The 18,745-nt window shown below is 38.2% G+C and overlaps 1 long non-coding RNA gene across 1 annotated transcript in view; it reads right to left on the minus strand.

Annotated features, from left to right (window-relative positions):
• Window positions 1-18,745, minus strand: part of LINC00504 (long intergenic non-protein coding RNA 504) — a 417,705-nt gene that overhangs the window by 128,405 nt on the left and 270,555 nt on the right. The window contains exon 4 of the long non-coding RNA NR_126435.1: window positions 15,411-15,547. This is a non-coding gene — a long non-coding RNA (long intergenic non-protein coding RNA 504). The remainder of the gene's footprint in view (window positions 1-15,410; window positions 15,548-18,745) is intronic.

Consider the following 18,745-nt stretch of genomic DNA (forward strand, 5'->3'; position numbering starts at 1 on the left):
TAATAAAGTATTGAATATCTCATGTAATTGATTGAATACTATACTGAAAGTGAATAACAGAAAGGTTCTATAGGTACTTGAAGTATGGTTTCTCCTGAAGGCATTATTGCTTTCATACCATTTTAAAGCCAAGCAATTGTAAATCAAACCATTGTAAATCAGGGACTGCTGTGGTCTGGATATTTTCCCCTCCAAAGCTCAGATTGAAATTTGACCCCAAATGTTGGAGGTGGGACCTAATGGGAGATGTTTTGGTCCTGGAGTCAGATGCCTCATGTTTGTGCCATCCTCGCAATAATGTGTGAGTTCTCATTCTCTTAATTATCCCACGAGGTGGTGGTTTAAAAGAGTCTGGCACCTCCCTCTCTCTTGCTTCCACTCTTGCCATGTGACCTCCACACTCCAGCTCCCCTTTGCCTGCCACCAAGAGTGGAAGCAGCCTGAGGCTCTCACCAGAATCCCACCAGATTCCAACACCATGCTTCTTGAGCAGTCTACTGAACCATGAGCCAAATAAACCTTTTTTTCTTTATAAGTTACCCAGCCTCAGGTATTCCTTGATAGCAACACAAATGGAGTAAGAAAGGAACCATCTGTACTATAACCTCTATCCGTGCCACCAGAACTGCACTGAAATTTATCCACCATTTCTTGGCATTAAGTATTACTGTCAAGAAGTAGAAGTCCAGACAACTCTTTCCCCATGTAGGTGGCTCACTATTTCTGCAAGGGTATCAGAAATATGCTTTTCTATTTCTACCAAACAATCGGTAATTTTATTAGGACATGACCCAATGTAGATCAATCAGAATTTTATTTCTAACTATGAATTTACTTCTTTCTTGCTTTCAGGAAACTTTCCTGTATTATACCTTTAAATATGTTTTGTTCTGCACATTGAATTTACTAATAAGGACACCATTTATCCTTATGTTTTCTACCCTTTACATTTACCCTCTCCTATTTGCTTAATCTCTTCATCTTTTTTTCTGTGCATTCTTTTGTGATTATCCCAAAACTCTGTTCCATGACAAAAGAAAAAAATTTTCAGCCATTTTATCTCTCACTCTTTGTCATTTATTATTTGTCCTGTGGTGTCTGCTTTAATAATTGACAAATGTATTATCATCTTTCGTTCTGACTTTCCGTTTCCCATCACACCCCGTCTCACCCCTCCGCCTTTCATATTGGAGTTGAATGAGTCTCTCCCAGAACTGCCTCTGATCATGATCATGCTCATCGCCCACATTTCTAACCCCTGGCTCAAAAAATCTTCAAGGATACCCTGACTCTTCCACTATCTCTCTGAGACCTGAGAAAGTTGCTGCCATCAGAGTCCTAGTATCCTCACGTTTGTTTTTATGGATTTCAAAGGAGAAACTTAAAGGAGAAACTTTCATAACAATGATGATGATGATAATGACCATGACAATAGATGATACATATTGAGTCCTTGCTATCTGCTAAGAAGTGTTCCAGCTAATTTTTAATAATTGCCTCATTTAATCTATGTAACAGCTCCATAAGGAGGGTGCTAGTACTATTCTTATTCTCATTTTGTCAATGAGGCACAATGAGAAAATGAAGGCACAGAGCAATTAAGGAAATCACCCTGAATCAGACAGCAATTTAAAAGTGGTTGCTTCACTGCAAAGTGTTTTCCAATACTTTTTAGAATTAGTGTGTCTTTAGGAGTAAAAAAAAAAAAGTCATCTGCCTAACAAAAAGGTGCTCCCCAACCTACCCTGTGTTTTAAATTGCTTTAGTAGCAAAAAACATCATTCATTTTACAGTCCTGATTCAAGTCAACTCCTGCCTGACTGTCATAGTCTCTAACTGGTCTCCTGTGTCCAGCCACACCACCTACCAATCCATTCTGCTCACATTTGCCCATGTGGTTTCTTCAGAATACAGACTTAAGCCCACTATCCTTCAAGGGTCTCCTGGGTGTTAGAATAAGTCCCTAACGCTTTCATGTGATTCCTAAGATTCTCTATAATCCGGCCTTTACCAAATCCCTTTCTGGACTCATCTGCTGCTGCTCCCCTTCCTGAATTTTTTATTGCAGGACCACGGACTCTATTCTTTTAAAGTAATATTGGTATAAATGTATGAGTTACAAGCACGATTTTGTTACACACATAGGTTACATAGTGATGAAGTCAGGGCATCCATCATCCAAATAATGTATGTTGTACCCATTGCTCTATGGCTTCTTGAACCTTTGCTCTTCCTCTCAAATCCCGATTTCTGACTCTCTGCATTGAGTAAATGTCACACATTTTACTTGTCTCAACTTTACCATTGTTTTACACAGGCTTTTGCTGACCCTATACAGGTGTCATTTCATATAGTCCCATAACTTTAAATATTCATCAACCACATTTCATTGAGATTAATTTATACATAGGTTTGTTCACTTTGGTTTCCCCGGCACTTAACCCTGCATCCAGAAACGAGTAGGCTTGAAGTAAATATAGGTTTGTGGATGAATAAATAAATGCCATTGGAGAAAATAAAAACTGAGAAGGCACCCTAAATGTGGACTCCTGCTCTGAGGGAGAAATTAGATTAAGAGATGAAAATTGTGCTTAATAATTTTTCTGTGCCCTGGAAATATACTGAATATTATTTATTTGGGGGACCATTTTCCTCACTAGGTTGTGGGCTCCATGAGGAGAGGGACCCCATGTTATTTATGTCATATACCCACTGAATAGAAACATATTTGGCCCAGGGATTGATCATACTTTTTTTTCCCCGGGCATGGTGGCTCATACCTGTAATCTCGGCACTTTGGGAGGCTGAGGCAGGCAGATCACTTGAGATCAGCAGTTCAAGACCAGCCTGGCCAACATGGCAAAACCCTGTCTCTACTAAAAATACAAAAATTAGCCGGGTGTGGTGGTACACACCTGTAGTCCCAGCTACGTGGGATCCTGAGGCAGGAGGATCCCTTGAACCCAGGAGGCAGAGGTTGCAGTGAGCTGAGATCATGCCACTGTACTCTAGCTTGGGTGATGGAATAAGATTCTGTTTCAACAATAAAAATAATAACTATAATTTTTGTTTCCTTAAGTGTCAGTGTATACTCACTACCCACAGAAAACTACCAAACTAATCACACAGTCAACCGGATGTTATTGTCTTTTCAAAAGGAAAAGTCACACTGATTTTTCAGTGAGACACACATCACACAAAGTGAGACCTACGTGCATGCCTCTGTTTAAGGTTGGTTGAGTTATTTTCCATTTCCAAGGCAGTTGAGTTTCAACCACTTTTAAAGAGCAACATTCTTTCTGTAGTTTGGAGTATTCTTTGTTTGCTAATAAAGTTCCCCTTAAAGAAGGTGATAATCAGGTTTCCTTCCATTATGCATAGCACAAAGCACATGATTTATAAAGCCCATGGTACCATAACAATGTAAAAACGTCCTGTCAGATCTCTGGGAAGAAACTCTATATCCCAGTTCAATAACAAAGACACTGGAAATGCAACCAGCCCCTGGTTCTTCTGTGCACAGTAGCCTCTCAAAGAAAGAGAGAGAACAATAGACCTACAAGTTGAATTCTCAAAGCCAGCCACTCAGACAACCCACTGGGATGATGAATGAGCTGTCAAGTACATAAATAAACAGTAACTCTGCCATCGCATTCAATACTTTATTTTGATCAAATAAATGTCATTATAGAGATACATCATTTGAGAATCATTGTGTTGGAGAGGACCTTAGACATGTTATTAATAAGAGTATCTAATATTCATTCACTATTATCTGGGGGTAGGCAATTTATATGGATTACCATATATAGCCCTCAGAACAACCCTATACGATAGTTAAATTAGTCCCATTGCTACAGATGGGATTCTTGATGGATAGAGAAAAGAAGTAACTCTCCCAAATTCTTGTAACTATAAAATGGGAGAACAAGGATTTGAATTGGGACTATGCAGTTCCAGAACCTGTGACCTAAACTATAGCTAATCCCTTTGTCATAGAGATGAAGACAACAAACAGTGTAAGCAAAGCTACAATGTATTAAATCGTTAACATGAGTATTTCTCTGAGAAACCCTATACATTAATTGTGTTATTTACTAATGAAAATAACACTATAAATCTGAACATATTGTCCCCATTTTACTAGTGAAGAAAGGGAGGTTCAGAAACATTTAATGACTTCCCCAAGGTCGCACAAATAGTAAGTGCAAGGTCCATGATTCAAACTAAGGTGTGTAGACCTTGAAACTGAATCATGACTCATTATTAGTCTGCGTGGCTTCAAAAGATAATGAAGGCAATTAGTGCAAAACTATAAGTGATAACTCAAAAATGATACAGTGGTAAGAAGGGTACTGGGACAAAAGATAGTTGGGTTCAAATTGTAGTACCATCACATTTACTTTGTGATCTTAGGAAAGTTATCTCCTCCCTTCTACTCCTTTTGAATTTCCATTTTCTCAAGTTTAAAATTAAATAAAAATCTCTTAATGAAATATTACTGACAAAGTTAAATAAAGCAATGTAGGCAAGGGGGCTGACATATGATAGAAATTCAAAAAATATTAGTATATACCAATTAAACATGGCAGCAGATGTGTGTATTTGTCTCTCCCTTCCCACACAATGCTGAAATAAAAGTAAAGAAGTATAAGGGTAGGATCCCTCAAACACACACAAAAAAGAGGAAATAAATATGGATGATAGATTTCAATAGATTTTTGAAGGATGGGAAGCCAGCAGAGGAAGTTAAAACCTAAACACCTGCGAGGTGAGTAATTATTAGAAACAATTCAGTTAAATCCAAAGAATCTCAGAAATGTTCAAAATTGTTGGTACTATGAACTATGAAAGGTGTGGATGATACGTAGAATTTAAATGCAGATTTGATTCTCGTCTTCCCTCTTTCACCCAATGAAGAGGTAGCTGGCTATATTTTCCTGCTGCTGTAGGAAACTAGAGTTTATTCTTTGGAGAAACAAAAAACAAAGAGGTCCTGAAAGCAGATTCACCATGTCTGGAAGTTGTTAGAAGTGACACACTAAAATACATGGAAGCCTGCAGAGTGAACGAGGCAAGCCCAAGTGTCATCCTTTATTTCCAAACACCAGCAGGAGGGAAGGTATGAGATGGCTTCAGTCACATGTCTGCTACCTTCCTCAGATTGGCTTGAAAGCTGAACTTAGCAGGAGCCTTCTTTTTCTCCATGTTCTTTTGGGGCCTCTTCACATCTGTGTTGTTTAATAGTGTGGATCCTGTGCTCCAAAAGACTAGGGTGGAAGCCTTGCAGTCTTCCTAAATGCCAGGCCCAGAAAATCACAGCATCATTTTCTCTCTGTTCCATTAGCCAATGCAGTTACAGGTCGGCCCTTGTTCAAGAGGACAGAAACAGCATACTCCTCTCGAAGCGAGGAGTGTCATAGAATCTGCAGCCATCTTTAATCAACCACAGTTCACCGTTTCATCATAAATTATTTGCACTCCACATAAATCTAAAATATACTCACTCTCTTCGAAGGTTTCCTGAGTAGCATCCCATTTCATTGCAACATTAGCTCACAACCAGGAGTGGTGGAGGCTCTTCAGATATGGTTCCTTCAGTAAAGTTCCTCTTAATCTAAAAACCTGGAACTGAAGACATAGCTATGTGGACTCTTCACATCCAATATGTAATGCTGGAACAAAGACAGGGTACTACCATTGACAGTCCTGTTTCAAAAGGGAGAAATGAAGAGCTATATTGCTGTTGGTAGTGTAGAGAAATTTAGAAGTCTTGCCAGATATATGTTGCCAATTCCTTTATTTCATTCCAGTCCTACTTTTTGGAAAAATTTTCTGTGGCTCTAACCTCTGCCCTCTGGGTTTTGGGTTCTGCCATGAATCACCTTTCCTTTTCCATAGTAAATGAACTGGATAGCCCATATTTCAGCCCAATTCCTATTGAGAGTTTGGAGGTCTTGAGAGCTCTCATGCCAGCTGGTGGCATATATGCCAATCAACTTATTTTTAAAGCTTCATGGATTTCATTTGGATCTTATTGAGGTTCACTATAATAAACCATATTTATACCCATAATAACATTTTCCCACAAAATAAAATATTTGTATTTCATCTTCACAACATTTGTGTCATTTCATTGAGCAGGCATTATTATTGTCTTCATTTTCCAGAAGAAGATATGCCTTTCTGACAAAGGCTCTTCTCTGTCTTAGTTTGGCTGGGAGTTTGCTGTGGGGCAGCTTATAAGATTCTTCAAAGTTCTCTTGTCTAGCAATGACAGGCAACAAATATGCCTTTAAATCTTTCTGAGATATTAATAAATTGTCTTGTAGCCACATCCCACTTTTTTGCCCTGAAATTATGCATTGTTGCCATGGATTTGATCTTTGCCCTGTGACATTTCTTTGAGTATCTTTTGGTTGATGGACATACCTACATTATTTAGGTTTTTAAAAATAGATGCCAGATTCTATTTCAGCTGTATATCGCTATATAACAATCTTCCCCTAAATTTAGTGTAATAAAAAAACAAATGTTTTGTAATAATTTGTGATTTTGTGGGTCAGGGATTCAGGCAGGAATAGGCTGTGTTATTCTTCTGACATTGTATAATTTAGTAGCATTCAGCTAATAGCTAGGCTGGTCTAGGGGATCCAAGATGGCTTCCCCCAGGAAGCCCAGTACCTTGGTGGAGATGGCAGGAAGGCTGAAGTCAGCTGCCTTCCTGCTCCCCCATGCAATCTGAAGGTCTCTTTGCATGATCTTGTCAGCAAAGGAGCTGTAGTTCTTAAATGGTGGCTCAGGACTGAAAAATGATAAAGGCAGAAGCTACCAGTTCTCCTAAATTCTCAACCTAGAACTGGCACAGTATCACTTATGCCACACTCCAGTGACCAAAGCAGTCGCATTCTAGCCCATGTTCAAGGGCTGGAGAGCAGATACCACCTCTCAATGAAAGGCATGTCACAGAACTTGCAGCCTTCTTCAATCCACCACAGTTATTTCAGAGAATGCAGGAAGAGAATAGAGCTCTAGGTGTAAGAGAGCTAAATGTTAAATTACTATAATACAGAGTCAATAGATAATATTTATAATTATTATCAAGACCAAGAAGTACAAACATATTACTTACAGCTTTTCAGATAAATTCTGGAAATAATGGCTTTAAGAAAAGAAAGTAGGTACCTCTTGGGGAGGACTTGTTGGCAGAAAGGGATAAACAAAGCTCTTCTTACATTTTATTTGTAGCCTTTGAAATAATATTTGATTCATTTCACTATGCACATGAATTACTTGACAAAAATTAAAATTAATTTCCAAAGGGTAGTTTCTCATTATTTTTTTCAAGTGTGATAATTGTACCCCACTAGCCTAAGATGAAGTTGAATGAATTTTGCAATGTTATTATTCTGAAATAAGCAACTAAAGAATTATTCAGAAGTTCCTCTCTGTCTCTGACTCAGGATAAGCTCAATAAGTCAAATAATAATAACATTTCAGGAGAGCCAATACCATAGTTCCTACAAGAAAAAGGACTGAGACTACAAGTTTACAAATCTTTTAAATAAATCCAATGTTTGTTACACTTTAAAAGTGTGTTAAAGGCCGGGTGTGGTGGCTCACATCTGTAATCCCAGCATTTTGGGAGGCTGAGGCGGGTGGATCACAGCTCAGGAGTTTAAGACCAGCCTGGCCAAGATAGTGGAACCCCATCTCTATTAAAAATACAAAAAATTAGTCGGGCGTGGTGGCAGCTGCCTGTAATATCAACTACTTGGGAGGCTGAAGCAGGAGAATCACTTGAGGGAGGAGGTTGCCGGGAAGCCAAGATCACACCACTGCACTCTAGCCTGGGCAACAGAATGAGACTCTGTCTCAAAAAACAAAAGTGTGTTAAAATGCATGCCAATTTTATAATCAAACTCCAAAATAAAACCATTGGTAATATTTGTGTAGCGTTGTGCCTTTGATAGAGGATTTTCCTATACATATGTTTTTATTTCATGTCCACAACACTTCTGTTGTTTTATTGAGCAAGGATTACTATTGTCTTCCTTGTCCAAAGGAAGAAAGTGAGGTCTTCAGATATGGTTCCTTCAGTACAGTTCCTCTTAATCTAAAACCCTGGAACTGAAGACACAGCTATGAGGCCTCCTCACATCCAATATGTAATGCTGGAACAAAGATAGGGTACTACCATTGACAGTCCTGTTTAAAAAGGGAGAAGACCTTGAAACTTAATCATGACTCATTATTAGCCTGAATGGTGATGACGACGGTTTGACTCTGAGTCTCTACCCAAACCTCATCTTGAATTGTGATCCCCACATGTCAAGGGAGGGCCCTGTAATCTCCACCTGTCGAAAGAGGGAAGTGATTGGATCATGGGGGTGGTTTCCCCCATGCTTTTCTCTTGATAGTGAGTGAGTTCTCATGAGATCTGATGGTTTTATGAGTGTCTGGCATTTCCTCTGCTTGCACTTCTCTCTGCCACCATATGAAGAAAGTTCTTGCTTCCCCTTCATTTCCACTATGATTTAAGTTTCCTGAGGCCTCCCCAGGCATTCGGAACTGTGAGTCAATTAAACCTCTTTCCTTTATAAATTTAAATTACCCAGTCTCGGGTATTTCTTTATAGCAGTGAGAAAACAAACTAACACAAATGAGCTAAGTACATTATCAAAGCTGATTTTTCTTTTCCAAACCCTGAGCTCTTTCACTACACTTAGTAATGGTCTGCCAAACCCTTATAAGACTATGACCAGAGTGTGTAAGGGAAACAGAACTGTGAATGTTCATCTGAATCTGAAAAATACTACTACACTCGAACATTCCACAAGAATGAGTATAATCTTGACATGTGTAGTAGTGGTAGTATATTTATGGATTATTGCAACATCAAGAAGCAAACAGTGTCTTTCTTGATGCAAACAATGAAGAGAAAAGGATTCCAACTCAGTAACATTTCAGTGATAATGTTGAAAACTTTCCTCTATTAAGATAGAGACATTATCCAGAACACTTCCTTCTGGACAGTGCCAAAATGTATGTAACTTGAACAACCAACCAACCATTTAAAGTCCGGTTTGCAGAAATTCTGGTGTGATTTTTAATAGGAAGGAAAATGTGTGACTGGCATGAAGAGGTTTCACAGCTACATTTCACAACACGGGGTACTCAGCTGCTCCTCTTGAATGGACTAGCATGACAATGCACACTTATTCTGTAAACAGGTTTCACTTAGGGACCTGCCGCTGTGGCTTTGAAGGATAGAGCTGCCATCTTGTATAGTGTGATGAGCCACTGCGAGGTGTGGTTTTCCACTTGGCTAAGAATTGTTGTGTGACCAAGGGCACATAATACCTGAGTCTCAGTACTCTTATTTAAGTGTAAATAAATAGCGTTTTACAAAGTGTTGTGCCCATACCACTGACAGCACACATGTCAGTCTTAGTTGGGACAGAGCTGAAAGCTTTAAATTGTGATCATAACTTGTTTATTTTAATAGGGATTAGAATAACAATAAAGTATCTTACCTTCTCTAAGACTTTATCAACATTATTGCTTGGTTTGAGACTAGAGTAGGTATTAAAATTGTTGAAGGTAGTCAAATTAAAGGAAAAAAACAATTAAATAATAATAAAAGTATATGTGTGGGGAAGCAACTAAAAAGCACTGGACCAGAAGAATCCTTTCTGCTTGAAAAATGTTGTGATTTTTTTTCCTTAAAAGACAGGAACATCAACAAGAAGTAGTATTTTTTTCTATATTAATAAGAACACTGTTAATGATAACTACTGCTAACAGCTATAATATGAAGAAACTGTTATTTTCCCTGTTAAATAAGGAAACAACAGTTCAAGGAGACTAATTTGTAAAGAACCACACATCTAACTTGTGGCAGTGCCAGGATTCAAAGCAGTTTCACAATAATTGCAAAGTCCATACTTTTCCATGGACTATGGAAGAACATAATAGCTGGAGTAAAGTGGCTGAGGCTCTGGAATCAGACTGCTCAAACTGGCAACTTGGCTCCACCATTTTCTCTTTTATTAACTTTTATTTTAGGTTCAGGGGTACATGTGCTGGTTTGTTATACAGGTAAACTGTGTGTGATGGTGGTTTGGTGTATAGATTATTTTGCCATCCAGGTAATAGGCAACTTCCCAAGACTGAGCCAGAAAGAAATTGAATACCTTAATAGATCAATAATGAGTTCTGACATTTAATCAGTAATAAAAAGCCTACCAAGAACAGCAACAACAAAAAAATGACCAAGAAACAGAAGGATTCACAGCCAAATTCTACCAGATGTATAAAGAACAGCTGGTACCATTCCTACTGAAACTACTCTAAAAACTTGAGGAGAAGGGATTCCTCCATAACTCACTCTCTAAAGCCAGCATCATTCTGATATTAAAATCTGGCAGAGACACAGCAAAAAAAAAGAAAACTTCAGTCTGATATCCTCAATGAGCGTAGATGCAAAAATAGTCAACAAAAACCGAATCCGGCAGCACATCAAAAAGCTTGTCCACCATGATCAAATAGACTTTATCACTGGGCTGAAAGATTAGTTCAACATACATAAATCAATAAGTGTGATTCATCAAACCAGAACTAAAGACAAAAACCACATGATTATTTCAATAGATGCAGAAAAGGGTTTCGATAAAATTCAACACCACTTCATGTTTAAAAACCTTAAGAAATCAGGCATTGAAACCATATACTTCAAAATAATAAGAGCCACCTAAGAAAAACCCATAGCCAACATCACAGTGAATGAGGAAAAGCTGGAAGCATTTCTCATGAAAGCAGCACAAGACAAGGACACCCTCTCTCACCACTACTATTCAACACAGTATTGGAAGTCCTCGCCAGAGCAATCAGTCAAGAGAAAGAAATAAAAGCCATTCAAATAGGAAGAGGGGAAGTCAAACTATCCCTGTTTGTAAACAATATGATTCTATACCTAGAAAGCTCCATAGTCTCTGCCCAACAGCTCTTTGATCTGATAAACAACTTCAGCGAAATTTCAGGATACAAAATCAATGCACAAAAATCAATAGTATTCCTATACACCAACAACATTTAAGCTAAAGGCCAAATCAAGAATGCAATTCCATTCACAATAGCCATAAAAAGAGTGAAATACAGCTAACTAGGGAAGTGAAAGATCTCTACGATTAAAATTATAAAACACTGCTCAAATAAATCAGATGACACAAACAAATGAAATAGCATTCTATGCTCATGGATAGGAAGAATTATTAAAATGCCCATACTGCCAAAAGCAATTTACAGATTCAATGATATTCCTATCAAACTATCAATGACATTCTTCACAGAATTAATTTATAGAAAACTATTCTGAAATTCATACTGAACTCACAAAAGGGCCTGAATAGCCAAGGAAATGCTAAGCAAAAAGAGCAAAGCTGGAGGTACCATGCTATCCCACTTCAAACTATACTACAGTATAGTGACTTGCCCACTCTTTTGCAGATGGATTGTGGCAGAACCAGTATTCACCCCTATTTCCATGCAATTCTGTAATGCACAACCTCGACGGGTCACTTAACATTTACTATGACTTGAATTTCTGCTGGTCTTGGACCTTCCAAGGGTTTGCTCAGAAGCTGTCAAGTTCATTTATGGATGATTCCCATACTACCTTTTTTTTTTTTTTTTTTTTTTTTTTTTTTTTGCTGAAGACATTTTTAGTTTGGGGCTCAAGAAACATGACTCCCATATTTACACAAATCTGGAAGAGTGTCCTCCCAGGACATCATCTGGAAGACAAAAAAAAAAAATTTGTTTGCCTTGTTTAAAAGTGATGTCCTTAGTCAAGATGAACACATACTCTTTTTGAGGAGTTTAATCATTTTTCTAATTCAGACGAAATGTTTGGAATTGTTTGGTATCTACTGGCTTATTGTGATGGTCACAAATTGTCAACAAGGACCTTGAAAACTCTCTGAATCTTCATCCACAATGCTCATTTCAGCCATCCCCAACACTTTGGAGGAGGATTCACTTTATAGGAACTAAAATTTTTAATGTATCTTGTAGTGTTAAGGCTCTAAAAGAAACTTGGTACATTGGGGTAGCATCAATCCCTGGAACAAAATATTTGATTTCATATGGCCTTTCTTAGGCTCTTATGGTTCAGCTCAGTGAAGGAAATTTCCAGGCAAAGGAGAATTCTGAATTATATTTGTTTCTATTATGGTTTTGCTGGTGATTGGCTTTTCTTAGTTTGCCAATGGCACTAATGACCATAGTGAGTTTGAGCCTTAAAATATCAATATTTCTTACAAATAACACATGTGGGCTATTGATACTATGTCTTACAGTAAAAGATCTATCACTAAAGCAGCATCTACCTGAAAACTCAGTCTCTTTTATTCCTCTCTCTCTCTGAGTCTTCTGCTTTTGTAAACTTTTCTCATATGCCTCATTCATGTGTGAACAGCCAGTGATATCTGCAATGAGGGAAAAGGATAGACTATAATTGAAATTGAGAGACAGATATAGGAAAAGAGGAGACGGAGGGATATTGGGAACATATCACTTATGCGCCTGCATTGTTTTGAATTCTTGTGTAGATTCAATATGCATCATTATTTAGTCCTCACATTAACTTTATATTTATTTATCTCTGTATCTATCTCAATATGGAGCCATCAGACCACCCTATCTGGGCTCAAACACAGAGGGAAGCCTGAGATGAGGTTTAGCTAACACAAATGCTGATCCTTACTGGGTGTGAACATTTGGATAATTGTACTCTTATTTTCTCTTTTTACATCTTCTTGTTGCATGAATGTTTTTAATTTAAAAAAATGCATTTTTTTCAAGGTTCTTAGTATTAACAAAAATAATAAATACCCAAAGAGTCCTGTCCCAGCTTGGGCTCTCTAGAAATAGACTCTGAGACAGAGTTTAGTGTGCAGGGGGTCCCTTGGGAGCAACACCCATGGAGGAGGTGGTGAAGCAGAACTGGGTGAAGTAAGCTCATAAACTGTGACGCAGACCCGAGAGCCTCAGTGGACCCACAAGAAGGTCTGGAGTTGAAATGGCCCATCAAGCTGTTGCACATGGGGCTAAAAGGAGCAGTCCTTTTTCTCCATGCCAATCAGCTGGATATGATCCTCCCTAAAGTTCCTGTCCAAAGTTGGGTGACCTTGAGCAAGCTGGCTTTACTGAAGCTAGTCCTTATGGGCTGATAGCTGAAGGCTGATCCCTAACAGCATTTCTTGAAGCTGAAGCAACAAATTCTTCCATTGAAGGGGGAATCTGAATGGCACCTGCTTCACTGGCACATGATCTCTGTCATCACACATGGTCCTGGGCTTAGAGGGGATCATGTTTGGTTCAATGCTCTGCTGTTGCTGCTGTCCTCAAATTTAAATTTTAAAATAAGAGTTCCTGTATTTTCATTTTGCACTGAGCCCTATAAATTAGGCAGCCAATGTGTTCTGGGTACACAGCTCAATATCCTACTCCCTATGGGAAGTAGGAAACATAGTTCCTACTCCCTATGATTCTGATGTATCCTTATAGAGTAAGCTAGCCTTGAAAAATGAACTTCCAGAGTAAAACAAGATTAGTACATGCTACCCCTCAGCTGTGCTGATGCAGAATAAAAACCTTGAGATCTTCTGAAATGGAATTAAACATCTACATAATTTAGCTAGTTAGGTCTAAGTAAATGCCATTAGAGGTCCCTAAATGAAATTAGGCAACTGAGTTAAAATAAAGAATAATAAATCTTTTTCATCCATTTTGTTGCAACTTTTAAAAAATGTTTTATTACAGTGGTGAGTGTTGCATATCTGGAAACTGAATATAACATACCCAGAGATGTGAACTTTCAACTTTCAAAAAAATTCAGAGGGCAAAACTGATTTTGTTTCATAGACAAAATGTGTTTATGGGAGGTTGATGGTTTGAAACAAAGCCAAGAAGCAAAACTATGTCAAGTATCATTGTTATTGGGGTTAGTTGAAAATTAAAATATTTGGGCCAAATATTCTTTTCTAAAAGCAAAAATAATTCTGGAACAATGGAATGTAATCTTGGATAGGGACTAGAAGTGCTCATAGAGCTTTGACTATTCAATAAAAAGTCACAGTGAACTCTGTCTCTAGCATTTCAAATCGCCAGCAAACTCAGGTAATTTGGTGTATTGTTTTCCTGGTATGTTAAACTTGAGTTTGTCCATGCATTTTATCTTGACTGCTGCAGCTACCTCTGTTTGCCTCCATCTTAAACTAGGAGAAATAGAAAGAAAACTAATTTCTGCCTATCATCAGCATTCTTGCAAAATAAGAATTAGATCAATTAGATTCATGGATAAATCACAGTGGGTATTTCTTAGTCACCTTCCCTATGTCCTTTCCACTTTTTTACTTTTGAGAATTCATCCTCATCCAATTTTAGCCAATGCATTTAAGGTGGATTGAATTTATTTCAAGAAATCAATGCCTATTGGCCTGAACCAATCAGCCTATCTCATGTCTGATTCAGACATGGATTTATGACCAGGTTAGAGACTCTGAAACGCTGTGGCTACTCCAAGAAAACAGTTCTTCTCTCTTCCAGTCCTAGCGGTAATAGGATACAAGGCTTGGAGCCATCTCACCACCATTAGATGAGGCAAGTTTTGAGGAAACCAGTATAAAAGGAGGCAGAAGGCAAACATGATAAAATAAGCACTAATAACATAGTCTGAGCCGTCTAGATCAAGCCATGCCTTTGCCCTTGTCTGTTACTTTATTCCCCAAATTCCCCATTTGATTTGAGTTATGTGCTTATCCTTATGGCATAAAAAATAAAGATCATTAAATTATCCATCCCATTACACTTTGCATAAACCCAACCTGCACACCATATTATCCCAGTAATAATTCAGAATGTCCTGGCCTCAGGACTTGACCCCATCTTGAGATATTTGTCCAGACTTTGCCTACCCAGCCCTTCCACACTGTTGTTCTTTTTTCTTCCTCTACACACATCCCCTCTTCAATAACCACCATGATTACTGACCACAGAGTTCACTACTTACCCCGAGACCCCAAGCTGTGACAATCCATTTGGGTGTGCCTCTCCAAGATCACACCAACAAATTCCCCTTGGGCACAGTGTCAGGATGGGGACTTTGTAAACACACTACACGGCTGGATGGAAGGGGGACTCACAATTTCTTCTCATGCTCAATGAGAGCTAGCTGAGAAGATTGGATACCTCTGGCTCCTAGCCTCCCTAAAGAAGGAAGAATTAGATCACACTGATGGATGTGTTGCTGTGATTGAAGGTCAGTCCTGGAAAGAGCATGGTAAGGAGAGAACATATTTCTTTCCAATAAAAAGAAAGTGATAAGCAAAGTGGGAAGTGGAACTCACCTGAAAGCAAAAAACAGAGTTGCAGGCTGGGCGCAGTGGCTCACGCCTGTAATCCCAGCACTTTGGGAGGCTGAGGCAGGTGGATCACAAGGTCAGGAGATCGAGACCATCCTGGTGAACACAGTGAAACCCCGTCTCTGTTAAAAAAACAAAAAAATTAGCCGGGCGTGGTGGCGGGCACCTGTAGTCCCAGCTACTCGGGAGGCTGAGGCCGGAGAATGGCGTGAACCCGGGAGGCGGAGCTTGCAGTGAGCCAAGTTTGAGCCACTGCACTCCAGAGCCTGGGCGACAGAGCGAGACTCCATCTCAAAAAACAAACAAACAAACAAACAAAAAAAAAAAACAGAGTTGTTTCTGTGGTGGTTTTTCCCAACTGCATCATCTTTCCCTAAAAAGAGAGGTCTTTAGCTTAGAAATCTTGGCTACCATAAAGTTAATGTCTTCAAAATTTGTGAAACTCTAAGTTGTTTGGGGTGGGAGGTAAAATCTTCAATTCTCCCTACTCTACTCTCTGGGGAAAAAAACAAATAAATAGACAAAACTTAGTAAGACACTTAGAAAACAGGAGAGCAGCGCTCATCTGCTCATTCCATTAACTGACATAGAACCCTTGCCTTGGAGAGTGTGGAGGAACTTCAGAAGCAGACTCCAACTCCCACCTTAGAAAATGACAAAGCTGAGGCTCGGGAGCCTCCTTACTCTTGCCTGAGATTAGGCTAAGACTTAGCCTAGCGCCAGATGGAGCCAAAATAGCCTGGTTTCCACCCAGTGTTCCTGCATTGCAAATACTAAGTCATTCATAGTACAGTAACCATCCATGTGCCAAAACCTGACTGAATATTTGCTATGTGTAGGACACTATGCTAGTCACTCTCAATGTAAATCAATAAGTCAATTCCGTATCTGAAGGACATCAACTTGCTTCACTAGCAACATAAATAAAATTCATTGCATTCCAGGCTAAAAGGGTTGCAATTTCACAACTTTACAAGGCAGAATCTAGTATGAGGGGTTTCCAAATACAATGTTTGGGGAGGTCCAAGACTATTGTTTAATACCTCCATGTAGAATAAATTGCAATTACTTATCTATAATCATAGTTTATCTTCATAGATGGATGTATTGATATTAAAAGCTGCACTTGTTTTCCTCTTCAGAGCTGTACTAAAGGTGATTTAGAAGCAATGGTGGGCATAAAGTTTACAATTTAAATTCAGGACTTTTTCTTCAATTGATCCATCCTGGAACTTGTCAGCTTATCAAGCTAAACTCTCACTATGATCTGTGATTTCAACTCTCTTTCATATTTTTGTGATTTCCAAATCTATATCTACATCAAAGGCCCCCTTCCTAGCTTTAAACCCTTATTGTCCAAACATATATCAGATTCATCCAGCTGGATGTCACACTGAGGCAACTCAACAGTTCCAAACCAGAATCCTTCATCTTTCTTGCAAAGTTTTTGCTTCCCTCTCCCTGTGTAATTAATGATGTGTAGTTGCTTAAGACAGAAATAACATATTTATCTGTAGCTTCCCCAAATCCCTTGCCCTTATACCCAGTTGGTTACTAAGGCTTATCAAGTTTTTCTTCATTGTAATATTAATTCGCTTCCTCATTTCAATTCTCACTGCTCTACTTGAGACATTTATTGCTTCCTCATTGAACTTCCACTTGACTGTCCTTTAATTCACCCACAACTTCACCATCACGATTCTATTTCTTCATATTAGAAGATCAACGATGATGTTTCTCTACCTAAAATATTTTAACACTTAACCATTGCCTACTGAATAAATTTCAAATTCCTAAGTTTGATATTCTAACTTCTCTACAGATTCCAGCTTACATTTATAACTTGATGTCGGCCACTCATCTTAAAGTACAATATTATGTGATGAAACCAAATACTAGCCATTCCTGTAAGATGATATATACTTTCACTGGTGTCTTTTACTAGACTCTCTTTCCCCAAATCTTTATCTGTCAAAATTTTATCCATCAATGTCCACTGAAGTCTAACATTTACTGTCATCTCCTCTGCCAAGTCTTTTCCTACCATCCTTCCAAATGGAACTAAGTCCAGTTTCTATTTCAGTAAAATAGTTTTTTCTTGATAACTATTCTATAGCATTTTTCACGTTATACTATCATTTATTACATACCTGTTCATATCCTTAATTAATATGCATAATCTAAGAAAGCTGAAGTCATGCTTTTTATCCTCTCTGTTATTCCAAATGTCTACCAAGTTCCCCTGCATAGAAAAGGCAGTTTGATAACTATTAAGTAAAGGAACCCATAAATAAAACTCATGAATAATGAAAGAGAAGTTTTGTAATTAGAAACACACATGTTAGCTCTGCATATGTTTAGTCAAACTGCCTGTGGTCTCAACTACTTGGGAGGCTAAGGCAGGAGTATTGCTTGAACCCAGGAGGTCCAGGCTGCAGTGACCCATATTTGTACCATTGCACTTCAGCCTTGCTAACAGAGCGAGATCCTATCACACAAAAAAACTAAATTTTAAATTAAAGTTGATAAAAATGGAGGCCCAGAATATCAGGATCTGATAAAAAAAAGAAAAGAAAGGAAAGGAAAGGAAAGGAAAGGAAAGGAAAGGAAAGGAAAGGAAAGGAAAGGAAAGGAAAGAGGACTCCCATAGTTAGCTGGGAGTAGAGGAGACACAATAGTTAGAGAGTAGTACTCTAACTTCTAGTAAAGATCTCTCCACTCAGCTAATTTTTTTCTATAGCTTTGAGTCCCCCAAAATTATGATTATACCATTCAAACAACTGATTTTGGATACATGTGAAACCAATATTGACTTTAATTGTCAGTAAAAAATAAGAAAATTTTTACTTGCTTGAGATTCAGTATAACTAGGTCCTAATGCTAGGTTCTGGTCCTAGGAGCTAGAAAAGAACCATGCAATATTGGAAAAAGTATGCTAGAAGCTGGAAATTAACATTTGCTGGTAAATTTCCCATGATGAAGTGGGCGTGATAAGGGCAGAAATTTTTATACTATTCACCTCTGCATTCACAGTGCTTGGAATAATACCCAGTTGCACAGTAAGACCTTGGGGAAACATTTAGTTTATACAATAATATATAAATTTCTATATGCTATAAATTTTATTTTGTATTTTATATGCACTACTTCACTTAAATTTTATAATCAACCTATAGAATAATAAGTCTTATTAGCTCCACTTTCCAGATTTTAACACCAAGGCTCAGAGAGTAAAAATGTTGTTAAGAAACTCAGAATTATTTAGTGCTAGAGCAGGTACTAACACTCGGGTGTGTATATCTCATTGTTCTTTTTCCATC

Source organism: Homo sapiens, chromosome 4, assembly GCF_000001405.40.
Source record: "Homo sapiens chromosome 4, GRCh38.p14 Primary Assembly".
NCBI lineage: Eukaryota > Metazoa > Chordata > Mammalia > Primates > Hominidae > Homo > Homo sapiens.